We start from the raw sequence: 23,934 nt of genomic DNA, 5'->3' as shown, positions 1-23,934 counted from the left end.
CTGAGGCAGGAGAATCACTTGAACTGGGAGGTGGAGGTTGCAGTGAGCCAAGATTGCGCCACTGCACTCCAGCATGGGCGACAGAGCAAGACTCTGTCTCAAAAACAAAAATTATCTCACTCTCAATTACTTTGATATGAATTCCTTTTTAACAGATGGAGAAACTGAGGCCTGGAGAGGAAGGGAGGGTCTGCCCTAAGCCTGCATGGACAGAGTGAGAGCACAACTGTGACACTTTGCTTTGCCATGAAATGCCTTGCCTCTCCCTCTGCCCTGTGCCCAGCCCCATCCCTGCACTATTCTCCCCTTTCGGGGGACAGAGTTAGTAGGCGCCTGGGCAAGCAGAGCCCAGCATGGGCTGGGAAGGAGGCTTCTGCGTTCCTGGTGGCCCACTGTTGCCACAGCTGCCCAGCAGGACTCTGCAGTTCCTCTTACTTGTTGATTAGGACATTTCACGGCCCATGATGGCGATGGGGTGAGACACACAGGCACAACTCCCAGCCGAGCTGTGCTTACTGCAGCCTTGTTCAAGACAGGGGGAAAACAAGACACACCTGTCACTGTTAGGGGTATGAGGTGGGGTGGCCAATGGGGCAGGCAGGGGGAGTATGGGAGGTTCCAGGGTGAACTGGGTTCACTGGCACCCACAACGAAGGGGCACCAGGGAGGGTACAAGCCAGCCAAGAGGTGCTGGGGAGAGGAAGAGGCATGGAGAAGAAAGTTTGCCAGCTCTGCTTCTGATTCCCATTGGGGTCTTCAGGAAGCCCCGCCACTGCTTTGAGGGAGCATGACTCCATGGGTAAAATGATTCTCACTACTTCCCATGGTGCCAGCCCTGCTCAGGAGTGTGGGTGGCCGTGGGTGTGGGGAAGGAGCCTGCCAGGGAGGCAGGTGAGAGGGGAACAATTTCCCAAATCCAACATGAAAGATGAACTCCAGCTGTTAGACGGGACTCCAGGCTGGGAGCTGCGGGAACCGGCGTGTGGAGGAGGTGAGGGGTGGGCACTGGTACCGCGGCTGCCACACAGGCCCTGCCTCACACCCCCTGCCAGGGGTACAGGGCTTGGCGTAAATAGCATGCTAATTAGATTTACAAAGAGACTAAATTAGGAGGTGTCTGACTCATGGCAGAGGCCACCCTCTGGTCCCCAGGGAGGCTGGAGCTTAGCACGCTGGGAGGAAGCACGCCATAGGATGCGGCCATGGACAGAAAAATCTTCATCATCATCATCATCATCATCATCACAATAAGGGCCTCACTGAAGGCAACTGGGGAGAAATTAATGGGAAAACGCACAGTCTGGGCTGTCCGCTCCCTCTAGCTTCTCTTCCAGAGTGGCTTTGCTTTGAAGTCAACAAATATTTTCCTGGAGAGACTAAATCTTGGGGGAGGAACCCTAGAAATGTGAGCTGAAGCTGTGAGACAACCGAGGCCTTGCAAACAGACCCCTGCCTACAGCCAGGGCAGAGGATGGGGAAACAGAGATGCGGAGAGGTGCTCACCGGGGCCCCAGGAATCCCAGGTACCAGCTGTGTGGACACTGTTTTGTGTGGATGCTCAACCCTTGCTGCGAGGTCAGAGTCACCAGAGAACCTTTTCAAAATAAGAACATCCAGGATGGGCTCCCTGGCTTCCGGCATGGGGCGAGGCAATGAAGACCCCCACTTCTCTGCATGCCTTGCCTTGATTGCTCCCTGGACAAGGGCCCTCTAACCCCTCTCTGCTTTACTTCATTGATGAAATCACAAGCTGGTGAGAGGTACAGAATGTTGGAGGCAATCCATCCATTTCCTTTTTCTAGCCAGATCCCAGTTACCACCTTCATGGAGGAGAAAGAAGGGTCTGGAAAATAGGACAATTGTACATCCGAGAGTACGAACCCTACATCTGCCCCACGGGATGCTGGCAGCCTGCCCCCTTCTTTCCCTCACCTCTCTTCACTGCTTCTAGAGTTTGGTTCTTAATTCAAGTTGCTTAGGAGACAGAAAAACAGAGGTCCATGCCCTAGGTCACACCAGCAGGTGGGGAGAGTTGAGGGCAGCTGCACCCACTCTCTGGGGTGGCAAGAATGTGCATTGACTGGGTCTCTCCCACTGAGCAGATGCTGGGGTGTACATTTCTGGGGCTCAGTTGAACAGTGTGGTCCAGAGCTGGAAAAGGGACCCTCAGCTGAACACGTGACATGGAGCCACGGGTCTTGTCTCCTCCCTGCTCCCACCCTGTCCATCCCCACACGGTGTACGGCTAAGGCTAAGGATGCCAGCTCTAAGAACCAGCAGACGTCAGCCTTGCAGTAAAGGCCCGAGTGGGGAGCTAGGGTTAGCGCAGTACAGGGACTAAGGGTGGGGTGTTCATCTTTTTGTGCCACGACCCTTCTGAGAGTCTGGTGAAGCCCAGGCACCCCCTTCTCAGAAGAATTTTTATTTTCCACACACTAAAATACAAGGAACCACAGAGCCAACTAATTATTTTGAAATACAGTTACCAAAGTATTCTAAAAGGTTGTTATAATCCTGTATGCGCTTCAGGATGCATTAAACAAGGAGACTTAGCAGTCAGTCTCATACATGCTGTAATTTCAGAGCAGTGATGAGCGTAAATGGTATTTTGAGATTTCTGTGACACCTGTAACGTGATATGAAAATATCTGAGATGTCTCTTGGGGTCAAAGCCACAGGTAATGCTAATACCACTGTGGTTTTTTCTGTATTTGTAATTAAAAGAATGCTGCGGCTCACTTAGAAGCTGGTGAAAAGAAAGATGCAGATTTTTCTCCACCCAGGGCCATGGATGCCTTGGGTGGTCCGTGGCCCCCCTTCCCCAGATGGGCTGAGAACTCCTGGACTGAAAGGAAGACTGAAAGGAAGCCGAAGAGGCCCGCAGGAGAAGCCTGCAGCCAGGAACGCAACCTTTGCAGAGCTGCGTGGGGAGGGCCTGGAGGCACTGCAGCCCAGACAAACTGCCTAACAGGACCAAATGTGAAAATAAATTTAAATAAATACAAGGTTGTGGGCTGATGCTGCCTGACAGGCCTGGAACACATGTGGAATGGAAAATGAGGGTGACGGATAAAAATAAAGACTGAGATGAGCAGGAGAACAAGAACAGTCTCCCCTTCTCACCTCCACCCCATCACTGCCTACCCCCACCCGCCCCCCAGCATTCAGGAATATGGCCTTTTCTCCTTGTCATTTTTTTTTTTTTTTTTTTTTTTTTTTTAATTTATTTGGTGATGTTTTCTCCATGGGGAGGTGGGTAATTCTTTCCGTTTTTTTTTTCTATGCCCCTCAAATAAATGAACCATGTCATCTCCTGCCTGAAACGGGAATCAGTTCCTGCCAGATGTGTCCCCGTTCACTCTGCAGTGCAGGCCCCTCCGCTCGGTGGGACCAAACCTTTGGGAGGTCGCCCAGTGGATTTGAGCCCTGTGACTGAATTCTCAACCCTCGGGTCCCAAGCGGCCCCCAGTGGGGGTGCGTCTCATGCCAGCAGAGGCTGACTTTCTATCCCCATTCACGGGGGGCTCTCACTTCTTTAAGGCCCTATTCAGAGCCGTTTTCCCCATATTGGACAGCTGTAGTCGGATGTGCCCACTCTTGTCTAATGCTGTCACTCAAGCTCATCTTCTCAGCAGACACTGGGAAGTAAAAATTATCAGAGTTTGGAAAACTGAGATGAGAGAGAACAGGAAGCCATGTTTGCAAATGGGGAGCCCTGCAACACATGCAAGAAGTGCAAGGTTGAGAGTTCAAGACCAAGTTCTGAGACCAACTAGCTGTGTGACCTTAGGCAAGCCGCTTAACTCCTCTGAGCCTTGACTTCTTCCTCTATAGAAAGGACAGGGGATAATAATAATAATAATAATAATAATAATAATAATAGCTAATGTCTAAAGTATGCTTTTTCTTTTCTTTTAGAGACAGGTTCTCTCTCTGTCACCCAGGCTGGAGTGCAGCCGTGCAATCATAGCCCATTGCAGCCTCAACCTCCTGGGCTGAAGCAATCCTCCTGCCTCAGCCTCCCAAGTAGCTGGGACTACAGGTGTGTGCCACCATGCCCCACTTCAAGAGTGCTTTTTATGGGTTGGCACTGTTCTAAATACAGATACGAACCCATTTAATCCTGATAGACGCTCTGTGAGGTACAGTGGCTATTGTCTCTACTTTGCAGATGAGAAAATGGCATCAGAGGATAAATAAGTCCCCAAGGTCACACAGATCAAAAGTACGAAAACCAAGTGGCAGACCCAGGCTGTCTGGCTGGTTAATTTTATTTCTAACAACTCCAGCTGCCTCTCTCGTCCTTCCCTGAAAAGGGATGCTGCAGGGGGTTTTGAATACACAAATACAAGGCAGGCTGGGGTTGGGGACAGAGATGAGGCCCAGAGAGGCGCCCAAGTCCCTCTGCTTGAAGTGGGAGCTGGGTTTGCCGGAACCGAGTCCGTGGAGCCGGCTCAGGGAAAGGAGGATGAGCTGGCTGCAGGGTCAGTGGGCAGGGGGAAGGCCCGGGCGGCACCTTCCCCTTCCTACCCGTGTCCTCTTGGATGAAGAGAACATTAGGATTTGTAGAGTCTTAAAGACTGACTGGCCCAACTCATTGTTTTCCAGAGGCAGACACTGAGGCACAGCGGGAGGACGAGTCTTGCCTGGAATCGCACCTGAATGCGGAAGAAGAACTGGGCTGAGAACCTGGCTTGGGCGCTCTCTCTGCCACCTTCTCAGGGCAGTTGGGGTAGGTGTGGTAGTGGAAGGCTGAGGTCAGAGTTCAAAATCCTGGGCTGATTTGAAATCACAGAGCCTCTGTCATAAAGGCTGAAGGGGCCAACTCAGTGTCCTGGGAAGAGTTCCTAAGAGCAGTTTCTATTGGACTTTTAGGGTTCTATGATCATGGAACTGGGGGTTCTCCAGCTTTCTGAAAACACCTTAAGAGGAAAATGGCTAAACTGCTAAACCGTCAGACACTGGAATGCATGGTCACGGGAGTGGGGAGTGTCTCCCGTGTGGGAGACTTCACTCCTTTTCACTGCTTCCACCCTGCACATTTCAACACAGCCATCAGAGGGCTCCTTGAGAAAGGCGACTCAGACCACATCAGCTCCCTGGCTTCCTGGGGCTCCCAGTAACAGAAAAACGCCTTCCTGTGCCTGACAAAGCCCTGCCTGCCCCCGATGAGGCTGCAGCCTGGCCTCCTGACACCTCCATCCTCTTGAGCTCTGTCCTGGACATCCACAAGAGCCTCTTTTCTGCTCCTTGAAAATGCCAGGCCATTTCCCTTTTGGGGATCTCTGCCCTTGTAGGGGAGCGTCTGCTGCCAGAAATGTTTTGCCTCCACAGCTCTGCATGGCTGCACCTTCCATGCCACTTAACCTCAGCTCCAACAGCACCTTTCTGAAGGCTTTCTGGGACCACAGTCAGGAATCACCCTATCCCACCCTGTCACTCACTCACCCTGTTTATAGAGTTCTGAACATCCATTTCTACTGCAATTCTGTCTCCCCACTGGAAGGAAATATAAGCTCTGGGAGGGCAGAGGCTACATCTTCAGCTCAGTCCCCCCAGGACCTAGCACAGTGGCAGGCACATAGTTGGTGCACATAACACTTGTTGCTTGAATTAATAACTAACCCCCAACCTGCGTAAGTTTCAGCATAGTCCCTCAGGAAGGCCAGGGGTTCGGCAAATTAATGAGGCCCGAAGGCCTTTCTGAAATATTCCAATTCCCAGAAGCAGCCAGAATCTGGCAGCTGAGGCCTCTCTGGGGTGGGGAAGAGAGTGGTGTCCCAATCCCTACCCCGATCCCTCTCCTCTGCACAAAATATTCTCAAGGACAGCAGCAAGTGTGTTCTGAGAAGCTGGGGGTCAGGAGTGAGGCAGAGGAAAGTGGATCAAATGCTCCCAGCTCTGGAGAAGGAAGGCAGGACATCCGCAAATGGTATTTCTCCTGACAGCGGATGAGAGGAACTGTCAGTTTTCAGCTATCTGGGTCAGCGGGGAGGGGTCGTGCATAATGAAACAACTATTTAAGAACAATACCCCTTGCTGGGATTTGTAAGGCACCCAGAGGTGTGGATGGTCTCCGAGCCACCCTGCCTCCGTCCCCCGCCCCCTTCTGCTAGTCTGACTCTTCGGAGGGGGATGCCACACAGAGGTAATCCACTGGCGCCTAAGTGGAGGAACGTTTTCTAGGACAACTGAACAGAAAATTCCAACCCGCGCAACAAACTGTCCCCATGCAGAAGGGAAAACAGGACTGCCAGTGGCTGACTCAGCTTCCAGGCATGTTAATGAGGTGAGGCAGGGGAGGGCTGCAGGCAAGGCCAGGAGAGGAAAAGTTGACCCAAGTGGAGAAAATACAAAGAATATGTTGGGGGCAAGGGCGGCACAGGGGGTTTAAGGATATATACATTATAGGACTCCAGGTGGGTGAGTGAGTTGCCGATTCACCGTGGCTCCCCAGAACACCAAGGAAGACACAAGAAAACGCCCAGCCACCAGGTGCAGGGGAATGAGGCTGCCACAACCTTTAATTTGAAACTCAGAGATGAGCTCCCAACACCAAGGCTGACTTCTGGGGCTTCTGCCTTTTGGATTTTTTTTTTTCTGATTTGCATCACAACCAGCTATTTGCATCTCAACTGTCACAAGGTACAAATGGGTTGTTGCTGGTTTCAGCCCACCCTGTCCTTTCCTTCCCTGGTGTCTGTGGGTTTTCTATAGCCAGGCAAAGGAAAAGAAATTACTCAGTGAGACTTGACAATGTGAATGGAGTCCTTGGGAGACAGAAAGGACTGCTTTCAAGCACCTTTGTTGTTGTGAATGGTCTAGCAGAGTCTGAGACTCAGTGAGAGACTGAGCAGAATCTTCGATCTGGTGGCGGCAGTGAATTCGATTAGCATCCTCATTAGGAGAGACTGCCACAGAGTTCCTATGGAGAGGTTACACTGCTTCTTCCTTCCCTTTCTGTTTTGCATCAGCTCCCTCGACTGCCCCGCAGAGGATTTCTGAGGTCATCCTTGCTACACAAACTCAGCCAGACCTGGTTTGGAAAAAGCCCTGGGCCATCTCGCTGATACTTGGGCATTTAACCATGCATTAACTCAACCAATGCTCATTTCCAGAGTGCCATCAACGTTCCAGGCAGAGCATGAGGGCCTGGATTACACTGGTGAGCCAAACTAAGCATGCCCCACCCCCGTGCACCATTCAGTGCAATCAGGAGTTAGATTTAGTGGGATCCTCACACTAATCGTGGGCATGTGAGAGTCACGTGGCTCCACAGAGCCTGGGACAGAGGGTTCTGACTGCTCTGCTGGCTCCCTTCCCTTCAGAGAATTTACTCAACGAACACATTTTCCTGCCACACCAAGCAAATCCAGAGTCACCTTCAACCCAGACACAAATCCCAACAGATGTATTTTTTCCTCAGAAATGGACTGGCAAGAAACAACACTTTTCTAAAAATCTTTTCTCTAACAGTTGCCTGATTTCTCTTTGTGGTTCCCTGATTTTTCTGGCTCTGGACACTCAGGCAATGTTTAACTGCTTTTGCAGTCCTTCTTTTGCTCCTGTTGACAATGTGGCTAAATGCTACACGGGGGTCCCTGGGCCTGATCCTCCATCATGATGGGGCCTCCCCTATATCCAAGACTGGTCCTCTGATGCATTCACCCGGCCAGCTCCGGATTCCTCCAGAGAAGAACATGAGATACACGAGAGCAGGGCTGGGCCGAAAGCAACTCATCCCTCCCTCTTATTGAGGAATGAGCCCGGTGCCACATGAGGGATGGTTTGGGGGCCGCCCCATCTGGAGGCTGGAAAATGGCCAAGGTGACCTCAGGGTTGGGTGGCCTGGGCTCCTGGGCTGCCTCTCCTCATTGGCTCTGTCTCTGCAAGTTATTGTGCCCTGGAGAAGAGGAGGCCAGGCCTGCACTGTCAGAGACACTGACCAGCTCCCTTGGGAAAACAGCCATGGAGAGCAGGGAATGGTCCCTGGTGGGGTTGGGTGCCCTGACTGCAGCGGGTGTGCCAATGGCTGAGCCTGGGTGGGGGGCGGTCACTAGAGGCGGGTTGGACCCAGATACTCCTGGGCATTCCTGCAGACATTTCAGAAAGTGCTTCTAGCAAAGGCAGCCTGAGATAAAATCGGAGGTGTCAGGGTTACATTGCCCCCAACCAGTTGGGGTGAGCAGTCCTGGGGGGTTCCGGCCTTACATCTGGTGGCACTCGCTGGACTCAGGCCTGGTCAGGAGCTGCGGCTCCTGAATGATGACAACGGCTAACGTACTGGGCGCTGTGCCACGCCCTGTACATGCCTCCTTCTCTGTGGCAGAGACAACTACTCGGCACCTTCCCCACGCTTCCTGGCCTGCTGGTGGTGAGGTGGGGGCACATAACTAGTTCTGGCCAATAGTCATTGGGTAGAAGTCACGGAGCCACTTCTGGGATGAAGCACAGAAGAGCTGGTACTTAGCCTTCCAGCTGCCTCTTCCCTGCTGCAGGGACCGAGGGACCTGCAGATCATGCTCCTCAGCCACTACACGGGGTAGGGTTTCCCTGTCCACCTGTGCTAGCCTAGTCGTCCACGTGAGAAATCAACTTTTATGTGGGGCCTAACTTGTTACTGCAATATAAGCTGATGGATGCATTCTCTTTCTTTTCTATTTGTTTTTTTAAACAAATGAACAAAGTGAGGCTCATTACTTTACCTGAGGTCACACAGCTAGTACATGGCAAGGCCAGGCTGAAACACAGGCCCTGTCTGACTCCAGAGCTTGTGCTGCCCCCACACAAGCTGTCTTCCTTCTGGGTTGCCTCCAAGATCAAGCCTCAATTCCTTGGCTTGGCATTTGAGGCCCTCTGAGACCTGGGTCCCGGCCTACCTCCCCACTGCACACATCCTTGCTTGCCTGGATTATGGCCTGCTGTGGCCAGCCAATCTTCCTGTGTGCCTCTGGGTGCAGCCCTAGGCCCCTCTCACCATAGAACCTCTCCTGATCCTCTCAGCCCCACAGCTGACCCCTCACTGCCTGTGGTCACTGGACCTGGACCCCACGCTGGTATCCACATTTCTCTTCTCTTGGGCATTATGGTTCTCCTGAAACCACAGATGGGACTTTCTTCTGAGCATCTCATTCATACAGTCATCTCCAAAAGGAGGTGCCTGCCCTAAAGGGGGATACAAGGTGATCCATTAGGGTGTGAGAACATATTAGAACTTGTTTTTATACCTGTTTTTTCCACCTTTTAAAACTACTACATTAAAAAATTTGTTTTTTGGGGTTTTTTTTTTTTTGAGACAGGGTCACCTAGGGTGGAGTGCAGTGGTGCAATCTCTGCTCACTGCACCCTCCGCCTCCCAGGTTCAAGCAATTCTTATGCCTCACCTTCCTGAGTAGCTGGGATTACAGGTGCACACCATCATGCCTGGCTAATTTTTGTATTTTTAGTAGAGATGGGGTTTCACCGTGTTGCCCAGGCTGGTCTCGAACTCCTGGCTTCAAGTGATCCACCTGCCTCGGCCTCCCAAAGTGTTGGGACTACAGGTGTGAGCCACTGTGCCCGGCTTAAAAATATGTTTTAAAATGTACGTACTGTATTTGTATCAACACACTGTTGACTCCTAGGACCATGGGTTATACTTGGCTCCCCAAGAGGCTAAATATAGCTCCTTGTAAACAGCAGGTGATCAATACTTACTTTAGTTATCTCAGACAGATAGGTATGGAATGCCTTACTTAGCAGGAGATGGAGACACACATGTACACACACACACACGTGTGCACACACACTTGAGCACACACACAGGCACATGGTGGGACTGACTTGCCCACGTGCCCTGAGTCCTTGGGGGGACCATGTCTGGTTGAGAGGAGCTGCCAGAGGGGGGCAAGAGACGTGGGCAGAGGGGCTCCTGGGTCAACAGGGTGGGTCACTGGCTAAGCAGCCAGAGTAGAGAGGGCTCTCCCGAGGACGGTGGAGGAAGCCCAGCCTGGAGCAAGGCCACCGCGGCAGCCCCACGCAAGGAGTAATCGAAGAGAAGCACCTCAGGCTGGAAAACCTAATGGAATTCCAGAGCAGAGTGGGCCAGGAGGAGCAGCAGCAATAAATAGAAGTCCTATTAGCATGGCAGCTGCTGACAGGCAGGGAGATGGGGTGCAAGGAGGGGTGAGGGCAGGGGAGGAGGCAGGCTGAGAGGGTCCTGAAGGGATGGAGACCTGGCCCCACCGAATAGAGGCCTCGCCGCCCTGCCCCCCTACGCCCGCCCCTGTGATGCAGGGTGTGTCAGGACCAGTGCAGGGGGCTGCCCCCACCCTGAGCCTCCTGCCTCCTCCTCTGCAGCTCTCCCTTACTTCCTTTTAAGGCTGGGCCCAGCCAGGGTAGACCCCCTGGTGATGCAGGGGTCTTCTTATGGCCCGGGATCCCCTCCAAAGCACTTAGGTCCTTTCACTCTTCACGTGGAAAAGCTGGGGTCATTATTACACCAAAAACAGGAATTAGACTTTCTGCTAAGGTCATTATTTGAACAGGAGCAAAAACGGGTACAGGCATCCCAAAGAGGGCAGCAGATGATCCATCAGGGTGTGTGAAAATACACATATGGTTTATTTCTACTTTTTTTTTTTTTGAGATGGAGTCTTACTCTTGTTGCCCAGGCTGGAGTGCAATGGTGCTATTTCAGCTCACTGCAACCTCCACCTCCCAGCTTCAAGCAATTCTCCTGCCTCAGCCTCTCACGTAGCTGGGATTACAGGTGCCCGCCACCACGCCCGGCTAATTTTTGTATTTTTAGTAGAGACGGGGTTTCCAGTGTTGGACAGGCTGGTCTCAAACTTCTAACCTCTTGATCTGCCGGCCTCCCAAAGGGCTGGGATTACAGATGTGAGCCACTGCACCTGGCCTTATTTCTACCTTTTAAAATTGCTATTTTTGTACATGCTTTACAATATCCCTACTAGATTAGTATGATGATCATGTATGTAACTTCTAAATAATAACCACACATATGGAAACATGTGCTTACATGTTTTTTGCAGGGTGTAGGGGATAATCCAAAAGTAGAGACTAGTGATTTTTTTTTCAGCCTTATTTATCCTCAGAACCTACCAGGAGTGGGGTGCCGCAATGTTTGTTTCTATTTTATAGCTGAGGACCTGAACAGCCCAGGCAGGGTGGTGGGTCTGGATGGGTGGTGGGTCTGCATGGGCCATGTGTCCAGGGACTCACCTCATCCTTGTCCACCACCTGGATGAAGAGTGGAAGGGCAAAGCCGACCTGTGCCAGCTCAGTGATGGCCACGCTGTACTCGGAGCTGTTGAACTCCGGGGCATTGTCATTGATGTCAATAACCAGGATATTGAAGGTCGTGGTGACTGTAGCGTCAGATGGGGTGCGGTCATCGTTCAGCTCCGTGCCCTATGGACAGAGATCAGTCACCCCGGAGTGAAGGCAGCTAATCACAGCAACAGCTCTTGCTTACCAAAGACTTTCTCAGCACCAGCCACTGTGCCTCAATGTGAATGATCCCATCTAATCCTCACCACAACTCCAGGAGGAGGATTTTATCATTAGTATCCCCATTTTAGTGATAAGGAAACTGAGGTTCAGAGAGACTAAGTAACTTGTATAAGGATTCACAGCCAGGGTAGATTTTAAGCTCAGGTAGTAGGATCCTAGGACTGACAGCAGATGGATGAGATGGGGTAGGGAGGACAAGACAGATCTGGGGGTTCATCGAGGGACAAGAGGGAAGTCTTCATTCTCTTTGGCAGATTGTGAAACTGAGGCCAAGAATGTTTGTGCTGGTGGTTAATCAAGACTTAACTGAGCATCTGCTATGGGCTGAACCCTGTGCTCGACTCTGAGGGTCAGCACAGATGGACTGATTCAGATACCTGGGTGTCCAGTCTCTGGGCCAGAGCCATGGGCCCAAAAGTGCCCATTCCCAGTTCTGAGTCAGCCTTCTGAATCTGAATCTCTCTGGGTGAGAGACACAGGAACAGATACCTTTCAATAGCTTTCCAGGGGATTCGGGTTCACAGCCAAGTGTGAGAACACACCCTCACATTTTATATAAAGACAGAAAAACTGAGTTCAAGTCCCGCAGTGGGGTGCTGGGACCAGGGGGCAGCTCTCTCTGGTAGAGCTGACCACCTCACTTCCATGGCAGGAGAGCAGACAGGAGGGAAGGATGGTGGTGGGAGCACGCCCTCCCATGGCTAACCCACACCTGAACAGCAGGGCCTCCCAAGGTCAAGGACAGCAATTAAGGGCCAGGCTGGGCTGCACCATCCTCCCCATGGCGCTGGAAGGGCCTCCTTCCCAGAGCCCCTGGCCTCAGTCTTTGGGCCACCCGTTTCTCTCAATCAACGGCTGATGGCCTGGGCTGGGAAGACCCCCCGTGGCTCAGACAGGATCCATACCCCTAAACGGGTTTCTCAGGGAATGGCTCTGCAAGTCACTGATTTGAATTGAAACCGACCGTGAGTGGCAGGCGGCTGCAGCGGGTGCGGGACTGTAGCTCTGCCTCACATCCTGGGGTGGAGACCCCAGCACATTGCTGTTGCATTGCTCCCTGCTGCATTGCTGTTTCTTAACAGGAAGTCATGGCACTTGGAAGTGGGACAGAACCCCAGAAATGGGGCAAATTCCAGAATTCCAGGTGGCTGCAACAGAGAACTTGGAATCCTGGGACAACAGTAAGGAAGGACCACAGGATGAGCACCTACTGTGTGCCTCCCGCTGAGAGGGGATAAAAGTTCCAACCCGTGTGGTTGTTGATGATGGATGCGGCAGGCCCAGCACACCTACAACTTCATAACGTGGGTGCCTTCCTGATGGGGCCCTGGGCACAGCCCCGGGAGGCAGTGCAGGGTGAGAGCACGGAAGCGAAGTGCTTCCGGCGCCACCACCGGGGGCAGGAGCCCTCGGACACTGCTGGAGGTTGGCATCCGAGTAGGGGCATCTCCTCTACCTGGGGTGAAGGTGCCCACCCAGGTCTCACCTTCACAGTCAGGATGAAGCCATGGCTGTACAGGGGGTTCTCCCGGTCCAGCAGGCCATTCAAGGTCAGCACTCCGCTGATGTAGTCCAGGGCAAAGATGCTGTTGGTATTCCCTGCAAGAGAGAGAAGCATTCAGGTGTGACCAGGCACAGGGCAGGGGGGCATGGAGCTGGGGGCAGGGGGGCATGGAGCTGGGGCCAGGGCTCCTCTCTGGGCATTAAAGACTCATCAGTTACTTGAAATGAATGCTGGTTCAAGAGTAATAGAAAGAGCCCTGGAGTCCATGGAGCAGCCGGCAGACAGCAACGGGTCCCAGAAGGAGAACAGCATGGCCTTTCCAATCTCCTTCTGGTCTCTGTGACCCAGCCAGGGAGAAAGTCTTGGTTTGGTGCTACTATGCTTTAACACTTCTCTAGACTCGCTTGATTTCTTTTTTAACAAAGAGAGAGCAGGCTTCAGGCTCAGAGCCTTCCAAAGGGAGTGGACGCCAGCCAGGATGCAATAACCTGGTTTTGTTTCTCTTGTGCTTATTTTTATGGTGACATTCTATTCTAGTCTAGTCTAGTCTAGTATATTCTATTCTAATTTTTTATTTATGACCGTGATGTAAAGTTTCCTTTTACAAAAAATGTAAATTAAAGACATAATTTTAAAAAAGTACTATGTTAAGTACTTATTAAAATTTAAGATATGTATTAAAGTACTGGCAAAAATTATCTATGAGCCACACTTGCCTCAAACCGATGTCTCTGTAAACCCACCCCTCTCCCTCTGCCACCTTCAATTTCTGCTTTCTCTCCACAGAAACTCACACTGGCGTCCTTGGGTTTCTCCAGATCACTATGCTCTTTCCTGCCTCCTCATCTTTTAGTGTCTGTCATTCTCTCTTGTCCTCATCCTCTGCCCAGCTCAGTGCCAGCCTCTTCTCCTCCTCCAGAAAGGCAGTCCTGACTTCTCTAGCTGGCCCTTTCTGGTCCCCACAGGCAGTAGCCACTGTTTTGTAACTAACTGTTCCCCAGTTGATTATTGGGTGTTCATTGGATCTCCCTTCCCGGCCCTCTGAAGATGGAGACCTTTCATGACTGTCCCTTAAGGTACCTGGCCAACGCTGGGCACACAGTGGCAGGCATGTTCCTCACCTGGGCCAGTCCTGCATGGGCCCCCACCTTGCCTATATGCCCTTCCCACATGTGAATTCACCTGGGAAAATCCCAATTCCACTCTGCTGTCTTCTTCACAAACCAGTTTGTTGGTTCATTCACATACTCACTCACTCCCATTCATTCACCCACCCAGCAATCTCTGGGGTAGGCTTTCCTATAGCAGGCCCTGAGCTGGGCATTGTTGGGCATGCAGATGTCAGCGTGCCAGGAATTCTGACACCAAAGCACTTTGCAGCCTGGTAAGTGATCTCTGGTACCCACCAGAATCGGCATCTCTGAGTTCACAGCAGGGAGGGGCTGTTTACAGATGGGAAAGCTCAAAGAAGGAAAGCTCCATAGAGGAGGGGTCATTAATTCCCTGGACCACTGACTGGCTGTGTGACCTTGGGCAACTTACCTAAACCCTCTGTGCTCTGGTTCCTCACTTGTAAAATACAGATAATAATGGCATCTGCCCCACAGGGTTATGAGAATTAAATAAGTGTGAAAGTATAGATATATTACTTTGGGACCATCCCCGGCACAAAATAAGGACTCAGTAGTGTTGTCGTTATTGTTTGAGGTGGTTCCTGGAGAATGGGCAGGACTGAGGAAGAGGATGGATGGACACCGATTCCACGTTAGAGAATTAATACCCAAGCCTTCAACACACGCAGGTGAACACCAGAATCACCGTGGAAGTGGCTGTAGCTCCCAGGTCTTCCCCTTCCCCAACTCTAAAGGGATCTGCATGTAGCAGAGGCTCATAGCCTCTCTTGGATTAACTAGGGAAAAAGTCAAGGGTGGGGCAATTTCCTCTTCTAACTTTAGACTTTGGGACAGAAGCTATTCTCAGCCAACCCATGCTGAGTCACCTGCCTGTGCTGGTCAGCAAGGCAGCTTACTTCTACCCAAGTTAGTGGCTAGTGGCCACTCTCACCTGTCCTCCCAGTCCACTGTATGGGCTGGGCAAGGCCAGGCAGAAGCTGCAGACAGTGGGGCCTGTTTAGAACTCAGTCTATCAGTCTATGCCTTCGGAATCTCTAACATGGGGCCAGCCCAGGAGGGGGTGTCACTGTAGCTATCCCCTTGCCTAAGGCTTCCTTTCCCAGCCATGGAGACTCCTAGGTCACTTCCTGCTGGGTTTTGTATGGCTGCGTTTGCATAGTGGGGAGTTGGGGGGACAGGATTGCAAGGAGGCATATAAATGTATGATAGAAGGGAGTTTCTTTAGCTGGGAATTTTGCTGCTAGAGAAACGAGATGTGTGTTTTCATCTGTTCATTCATTCAACAAACAGTTATTGTGCTTCTCTAATGAGCATACAGGCTGGGCGCGGTGGCTCATGCCTGTAATCCCAGCACTTTGGGAGGCGGAGATGGGCAGATCACTTGAAGTCAGGAGTTCAAGACCAGCCTGGCCAACATGGCAAAACCCCATCTCTACTAAAAATACAAAAAACAGCTGGGTGTGGTGGCGCATGCCTGTAATTCCAGCTACTCAGGAGGCTGAGGCATGAGAATCGCTTGAAGCTGGGAGGCGGAGGTTGCAGTGAGCCGAGATCACACCACTGCACTCCAGCCTGGGCGACAGAGCAAGACTGTCTCAAAAACAAATGGCGATACATTTTAATGGGGGCCACAGCACTCAACGTACAGGGTGATCAGTGCTGAGGCTGGGTGAAGCAGAGGCAGTGCAGGGCCCTGTAGGGGCTGAGGTCCTCTGAGCCCCTAAGGCTCAGCTGAAGGGCTGCCCTGAGGCAAGACCTCAGAGCCTCCGGCCTCCCACTCCTGCCCCAACACACTCACAGGCAGGGGTCCCCTCCCCAGCCCCCCCACAGACAGCATCCCAGCATTCCAGATTTTCATATAAATTTACTTTTTTAAATAAAGGAGCCTATCAAATGTTTAGCTAAATGTGATTCAATTTTTATCTTTGTGAGATTTTTCTTATAAATCATTCACAAACCTGAAGCCCCTTGTTGAATGACGTGCTTTCATTTTTGGTTTGAAAAACAGGGTTTTCAACCCTGGAACACTCACTTGTATTTCTTCACTCAGCTCCTATGCCCCGTTCACGTACACACTGCCCACTCCAAACCCGGCATCTGTCCCCAGCACATAAGACACCCCATGCCCCGACCTAGGCAACCTTCTCCAACAAACCTGCAGGCAAGTACCCCCCACACAGTCCACATTCAACCAAACTCAAGACACACATACATACACACACACACACACACACACACTTCTTTTTCACACATCTGTTTGCATGGAGTACACCTTCCCACCTCCTGCCAAGCACGAGTGATTAACTCCCCAGACCAACAGCCAGAAAGAGCTATACCTAGGGAGCCGACAAGGCCACCTGAGAGAGGACTGACTCAGTGAGATGCTCGGTAAGATGTTCTTACTGTCACCATAGCAACACTGGTACTCTCTGGGATGCTGCTAGGCTTGGGTAGGGGCAGGAGATGAGCCCTGCCTCCAAAGCTGGAAAGGCCAAGGGCACGTCTCATTCAAAGATTCATTGGTTTTTTTAATTCACTCATTCCTTCAAGTTCATATTGAGCACCTACTATGCGCAAGGTGTTGGAGAATCGGTAAAGAAAAGCAGGCAAGGTTGATGCCTTCAGTCTCATATGAATTGTCTGTGAAGACAGACATTCATGATAAAACCACACAATTGAAAGTGTAAGTACTCGCTGAGCTAAGGCCCCTGAAGAAAAGCAATTCGGAAAAGAAATGGTTAAGATTACACCCTCTGGAGGCAGACAGCACGGGTTCAAATCATGGGTCTGCTACTTACTGGCTGTGTGAACTTGATCAAGTGACTTATATGTGGGCCTCAGTTGCTTGGTCTGTAAAAGGGGGGCAATAATAGAACCCACCCCAGGCTGTCACTTTAAGGATTAAATAAGTTAATATAGTGCTGGGGACACAGGAAACTCCCAACAAATGTTGGCTGCCTGTGCTTTACCAAGATGGTACCACCATGGTCTCTCCCCACCACCCCAGCAGCCTGTGCCTACAGCTGTTTTCCCAGCAGTGACACTGAGCCAACCCCACACTTTTGCCAGGAGAGCCTCGCCACAGAGAGCTAGTGTTTACAGGCTGCCCTGAACTGAGGCTGAGAACAAAACCCTCAGGCCCACACACAGGGCCCTGAACCCAGAGCTCTGACCTCTGCTCCCCCCTCATTCAGGATGGTGGGTGCGGAGGGGAACTCCACATCCCTGCCTCGCTCCCTTCACTTCTTCCCTCACTTCCACGTCCTCCCCTCCACAGGCGCTGTGGGCTTGGCAGCCACACATGCAAGTTTCTCTGCTCTCCTGGAAACTGATACCTCCGTGTCGGCCTTCTGGTCTCCCAGACATTCTTCATCCAATTCCCATGGGGGGCTGGGGGGCTGGGGGCGCTCACCAGGGAAGCCTTTCATCTGTTCAGCCCCACTTCTGCTGAGCAGAAGGGCAGCTGCTTCCCCTGGGTGGACAGGTGCTGTCCTGAGTTCCAGGGTCGGGGAGTATCTGGTAGGGGAGGGGTTTTGGGGTGGGGTGGTGGCTGCACTTTTACCACCGTAAGGATTCTGGGAACTGGTGATTCAAATTGATCACAAAAGAAAAAAGCAGGTCATTACTGGCCCTGCTGGTTTTCCTGGGGGCAGCCACCTCCTCTAGGAGCTCCAGGAATCAAGACCTTTTCAGATTTGCAAGAGAGAGGCTGGGAGGAATGAATCATGTGTGAAAGGCTGCTGGGCAGGGGTCGGGGGGTGGGGATTGCAGCCTTCATTCTCCTATTTATTAAAAAGTAGCAGCCACTACTTATCAAACACTTACCATGTACCAGGCACTGAGCTAAGCTGTTTGCACAATCACATCACCTATTCGTTGCAACCACCTTATAAGAAGATATCCCATCTTCTGTGTGAGAAAGCAGGCTCAGAGATGCTCAATAACTTGCCTAAGGTCACATGGCTAGCAAGTGGCCAGCTTGGACTTAGATTTACATTTCTTTTTCTCTCCCTGCAAGCATTCGCCTTCCACACATTTGTGCACATTCTGCACCTGGCCCTGTGCTATGGGGCAAGGAAATAGGATGAGGCAAATAAGAGATCATCATCCTTCATAGAGTGGAGTGTCAACAAAGTGGCTTCTTCCTCAAGAGGGAGTCCTAGGGCTGGGCACAGTGGCTCATGCCTGTAATCCCAGCACATTGGGAGGCCGAGGTGGACAGATTACTTGAGGTCAGCATTTCAAGACCAGCATGGCCAACACAGTGAACCTTATCTCTATTAAAAATATAAAAATTAGCCGGGCATGCTGGCAGGTGCCTATAATTCCAGCTACTCGGGAGGCTGAGCAGGAGAATTGTTTGAACCTGGGAGACGGAGGTTGCAGTGAGCCAAGATCATGCCACTGAACTCCAGCCTGGGTGATAGAGTGAGACTCCGTCTCTCTCTCTCTCGTCTCTCTGTCTCTCTCACACACACACACACACACACACACACACACACACACACACACACGGGGGAGTCCTTACACATTCTGGAAAGTTCTAGATAAATTCCTCCATGGTAGAGTTTTACATAGCAGCAGAATGTCCATGTTGCGATGTCTTCCAGGTAGCTGGGGAGGTGGCCTACCATGGGGACTGGTGGGGGAAGGTAAGGCAAGAGACAAGAGCTGTCAGCACAATGGGGCTGGTGACGTTCGTCAGACACTGGGAAAAAGCGCACCAGGCGAGGCTGCTGTTTATGGCACATGTATAATTGGACGAGTATAACCAGGAATATTTAGAAGGTAGTGAAGGAGACAGAGAAGCAATGGCCAGAGAGGTAGATGGGAAACCAGCCTAGTGCCGGGTGCCCAGAGTCAGGGAAGGAGGCAGTCTTGAGAAAGAGACGGTCTGCAGGGTCAGATAGAGCAGAGAGCTCAGGAAGAGGAAGGTCTGGCAAAGGCCACTGACTGGGTCTTCAGATGTCCCCAGAGTCAGACTTTAAGATACTGAGGGACGGTGGGGCAGGGATGTGGGGACAGTGAGCACAGGTCCTGAGGTGCTGCTGCCCAGAGTTTGGTGTAAAAAACAAGGCAAGAGGCTGAGTGGCAGCTAGAGGGCGCCGCAGAGTCAAGCAAAGGACTTCTGCTGTTTTCTAGGTGGTCGGAGGGAGAGGGAGAGGGAGAGGGAGAGAGAAGTGGACTGGGAGGGGCTGCAGCAGGGGGTAGAAGGTCTGATGTTGGGGCGGGGCAGTTCTCTCTCTTCGAGCCATGTGGGGCAGGGGGAGCTTAGGCTTATCCCCCTACCTCTTTCTTCCTCCAGGCTGGAAGGCTACCCCCCTTCACGCCCCCTGCCCCACCTGCAGCATCGCCCCTCCTGCCTGCTGCCAAATCTCATCATTCCCACATCTTGTCCCCTTGTTATCTCACTGGCAGCATCTTGAACCACAGCAGAGCTGGGTCTGGGCGAAAAGCAGTTTAGTGAGTGGCCGATGGTGCGTGCGGGAACACAGGCTGATGACTTTCAATTGCTTTGTCTGCTCCGCTGGGCTAACAGCCCCTGAGTCCTGCCTCTGCTCTTCTGCACTCAGAGTTAAAGGAAAGCCTAAGGCTCCCCACTCGGCCTGGGAACTGCCCTTTCTGAAGGTCCAGTATCACCTGCTATAGGAAGCCCACCCGCATCTCTCGCCTGGAGGCTCTGCCACCTCTGGCTCCTCTGAGCCCTTGAGTGCTGGGCTCAGAACTCACGAGGCAGCTGCCCTGTGCAGTGCGCTTCTTTAATTCTCATGCCTGGAGACCCAGCGTGGCCTTGAGGATAAGGGCTGGGGTCTCATGCTGCAATCTCTGGCAGTCCCCAGAACAGCGCTCATTATATATTTGTTGGATGGCCTGAAGTTTCTCTTCCTCCCTCTGCAGCAATTCCAAAGGGTCAACCAGTATGTAAGAGGCAGCGGCATACTTGGGGCCTAGTCCTGTGTTGGGGCCGCAGGGGAGAGAAGAGAAGAAAAAAGCCATGGCTTATGAGGAGCTCGGGATCTTAGGAGCTGGGCCTAAGCAGCCATCTCTTTAAATGGCAGTGTCTGAATGGAGGCAGGAGGCTGGATGAGATTGACCTGTGCGATCCTGATCTCCACTGTGGCCTCTGACTTGGTCACCTGGCCCTGCCCAGGTCCAGCGTCAGGGACCTTACCCAGGGAAGGGAGCAGAACTGGGATCTGCTTCCATTCCTTCCAATGGTCTCTCTTCTAGTCATGGTCTGTGCCTGGAGTCTATTACGTCAACACCCTGGTGAAGACCGCATACTGAGCATGAACTCGCAGGATGTGAAAAAGACCTAGGTTCCAACAACAGCTCCATCACTTACCAGTTGTGAGACCTCCTGCAAACCACTCATTCCTTTGGGCCAAATTTCCCATCTGTAAAGTGTGGATAACAACTCCTACCTCACCAGGCTGTGTGAGCATCAGGAGTGATCATGTACGTAAGGCACTTATTGTGGTGCCTGACATGTAGCAGGTGGACACTTTGGTTTCTTCTTTCCTGCCATGCCTGTTTTCTTTTATTTTCTTTCCTTTTGTTTTGAGACAGAGTTTTGTTCTATCACCCAGGCTGGAGTGTGGTGGCTTGATCACAGCTCACTGCAGACTTAACCTCTTCAGCTCAAGTGATCCTCCCACCTCAGCCTCCCTAGTAGCTGGGACTGCAGGTGCACACCACTGCGCTCAGCTAATTTTTGTATGTTTTGTAGAGACAGGGTTTCACCATGTTGCCCAGGCTGGTCTTCAACTCCTGGGCCCAAGCAATCCTCTGGCCTCGGCCTCCAAAAGTGCTGGGATTACAGGCGTGAGCCACCACACCTGGCCATACCTGTTTTCGGAATAGTAGACTCAGAGCAAGCTAGTCCCAGCTGTGGCCCCTCTCACCCAGAGTTGTGAGGGGCATGCCCCACAATGGCCAACATAGATTGAGTTCTGACCTTGTGCTGGGCACTGCGCAAAGTGTCTTGTATGCATGTCTTATTCAGTCTCACAAAACCCCTGAGACAGACACACTATCCTCATTTTACAGAGGAAGAAACTGAGGCACAGCGAGGTTAAAAATAACCTGCACTCGATCATCCAGGCAGTGAGAGGTAGAGCAAGGAATTAAACTCAGCTTCCAGGAAGCTAAAGAGTTCATGTCCCATTCAGAGGCCCCTGGCCCTTCCTGTCTTCCCTGCCAGGTGTAGCCCATTAAGCAGCTGTGTGTGGGCAGCCTAAGCCCCCGCCCCTGGGGCAGGCTGGCTTGCAGGCCCATCGCTGTCCAGCGGAGCCATATCATTCTGACTGGTATAGAGTTGTATCACTGTATAATGAAAATTGGGAGTCAGTATGAGATATGGGCCTTGAGCAAGACATCTTATGAATTAAAAATCGTTACTTAGCTGCCTGATGACAAAAGGGGCCTGCATCCTGGATGGCATCTGGGCTGGGCTACATTCAACAGCCCCACGATCAACATATGGCAGCCAGCGGTGTGGGTTACCTCGGCTTTCAACCAGGAGAGGGGACCAGCCTGCCGAGAGTCTGCTGCCGCATAAGGATCCTGGGTCAGTCGGGGTGGGGGAAGACCGCCCCTCCCCAAAGCTTCCCAAGCTGCCTGGAGCCTCTTCCTGCAGGTCTCTTCTGTGTGCATTCAGGCCTCCATTCAAATGTCACTCCTCAGATTCCTCCCCAGTTACCCCCACCTTCCCACCCTCACCCCTGTCACTCTCTCTCCATTATCCTCTTTTATTTCTTTCAAAGCACTTCTACTTTCTGAACCTCTCTTCCATCTGTTTATGTGTTTCTTATTGTCTGTTTCTCCCTACTGGAATGTAAGCCCCAGGAGGGCAGGACTGGTTTCCCCAAGTGCCCAGCAGATGCCTAGCAGGTGATCAATCAATGTTTTCTGAATGGATGAATGGGCCACAGCAGGAATGTCTGAGGGCCACTCTGAGACTGGTCCAAAAGGCTGAGGAGCAGAGTGATACTGGGGTGACTCCTGATGTCACACATCATAAAGACACCACAGCTGCACTAGGGCCCACGAGGAGGGATCAGCCAATTAGTAATTCCAGTTGGGGCTGTAATACCCTCCTGATGCAGCCACAGTGCTATGTTTGTTTGAGCTGAGCCATCTCAGTTAATTAGTTATTACTGTCCAGTCAGGGTAAGACAAACTTCCAGTCCCTCAAGTAGGTGTGAACGGCAGTCCGCTTGTCTTACAGGCATTTTACACCACAACAGTTTTTATCAAGCTCACTTAAACCAACAAATTATAACCTCTCCTAATAAGGCTACAAACTGGACCCTGATTAATTTGCTAATAACTGGCTCCAGTTTATGAAGCATTAACTTGAGTAGCCAAAGATAGTGAAATCTATCATGCCAGTTTGCTAAGGGTCAAGCCACACTCTTCCACCCACAGCAATGCACTGTGCATGGCTCCCTGTAAAATGGAAAGCCTCAGAGAGGCGGCCCCTGGTCCTCTGAGGATGTTTTGATGGGGACCAGAAAGACATCACCAGGGACTATGGCTGAAATAAGAACCTATTTCCTGAAAAACCTTTACACTGCCATGGAGAGAATTTCTTCAAAGGGAATAATCATGAATGTGCCCATAAATGCAGTCACCAGGATGTTCACCATAGTGCTGTTTAGTAAGAAAAACTGGAGGTAACCTAGATGTCCAACAATAGGGGATTCATTAAATAAGTTATGATATGAAATGCAGCAAGCCACTAAAACGTTGCAGAAGAGATGCTTGTAACTTGAAAAAACAGATGTGTTTATGATGTGTTTTAAAAAAGGACAATGATCAGCACAGTTCCATAAGATACTTTTTTTGGCTTAAAAAATGTGCACATAGAAAAAAGGAATGAAATGTTAGCAAAATGTGAACACAGATTATCTGAGTGATAGTGCTAGGACAGAGGTTTTCAGACTCAGCACTGTGGCATTTGGGGCTGGATAATTCTTTGTTGTGGGAGGCAGTCCTGTGCATTGTGAGTTGTTCAGCAGCACCCCTGGCCTCTACCCACTAGATGCTGGTAGCACTTTCCCCCAGATATGACAATCAAAATAATCTCCAGACATTGCCAAATGTCTCCTGAGAGGCACAATCGCCCCAATGAAGAACCATTGCTCCAGCCATTTCAACTTTCTCTTTTGATTGATCTGAATTACATTTGTTGTCTTTCTTTTTTTTTTTAAAAAAAAAAGGTCAATACAAGTTCCTTTAAAAAATAATCCCCAAAGTTCTACAACTTCCTAGTGGTGACAGTTGTACAACACTGTGAATGTAATTAATGCCGCGGAATTGCACACTTTAAAATGGTAAATTTTACGTTATTCATATTTTACTGCACCAAAATACCCCCCAGTGTTTGATGGTGTGTGTCTTTGTGTTCCAAGTTGGTGCTAGATGCAGGCTGCTTTGCAAACTGATTCATTTTAATGTGTAATTCTTCCTCTCCCTGGGTTACCACAATTACTAACAACAATTCACCAGATTTAATCTCCCTGAGGGCAGGGGCCTTTCCCGCCCTGGTCTTGCTACATCAGCTAGGATGAAGGAAGGAATTTGCTCACAGAGGAGCTGCGAGGCACTGGAAAGGTGAGGTCTCTGCTTCCAAGTGGCATCTAGTCTAGATGAGGAAATAGGACCTGTGCCAAAAGGGGCCCAGTCCTGCTGAGGGCAGCTTGCCAGGCCCTGGAAGATTCTGCAGGAGGCTGGAGGAGGAGGGCAGGGCTGGGGTAAGTATGGAGGAAGAGGGCACTC

General features: G+C 51.2%; 1 protein-coding gene across 5 annotated transcripts in view, besides 2 other annotated features; it reads right to left on the bottom strand.

Moving 5' to 3' along the window:
* Window positions 1-23,934, bottom strand: part of CDH23 (cadherin related 23) — a 419,028-nt gene that overhangs the window by 187,331 nt on the left and 207,763 nt on the right. For 4 of the 5 annotated variants that reach the window (NM_022124.6, NM_001171930.2, NM_001171931.2 and 1 more), the window contains exons 10-11: window positions 13,001-13,113; window positions 11,224-11,412 (exon numbers count right to left, since the gene is read on the bottom strand). In NM_022124.6, the coding sequence (NP_071407.4) occupies window positions 11,224-11,412; window positions 13,001-13,113 (302 nt within the window). Of the gene's footprint in view, window positions 1-11,011; window positions 11,413-13,000; window positions 13,114-23,934 lie in introns of those variants that run through there. The other variant, NM_001171932.2, reaches the window with a different exon arrangement.
* Window positions 5,806-6,409: an enhancer, noted in NCBI's record as "H3K27ac-H3K4me1 hESC enhancer chr10:73381965-73382568 (GRCh37/hg19 assembly coordinates)". NCBI's record gives its function as "activates a minimal SCP1, AML or CMV promoter by ChIP-STARR-seq in naive H9 embryonic stem cells {active_cell/tissue: H9 hESC(naive)}" and the evidence as "EXISTENCE:reporter gene assay evidence [ECO:0000049][PMID:30033119]".
* Window positions 15,811-16,325: an enhancer, noted in NCBI's record as "H3K4me1 hESC enhancer chr10:73372049-73372563 (GRCh37/hg19 assembly coordinates)". NCBI's record gives its function as "activates a minimal SCP1, AML or CMV promoter by ChIP-STARR-seq in primed H9 embryonic stem cells {active_cell/tissue: H9 hESC(primed)}" and the evidence as "EXISTENCE:reporter gene assay evidence [ECO:0000049][PMID:30033119]".

The sequence above is a fragment of the Homo sapiens genome, chromosome 10 (genome assembly GCF_000001405.40).
Source record: "Homo sapiens chromosome 10, GRCh38.p14 Primary Assembly".
Taxonomy (NCBI): Eukaryota; Metazoa; Chordata; class Mammalia; order Primates; family Hominidae; genus Homo; species Homo sapiens.
The sequence above is the reverse complement of the archived record's forward strand: the minus strand, read 5'-3'. Positions and strand labels throughout refer to the sequence as shown.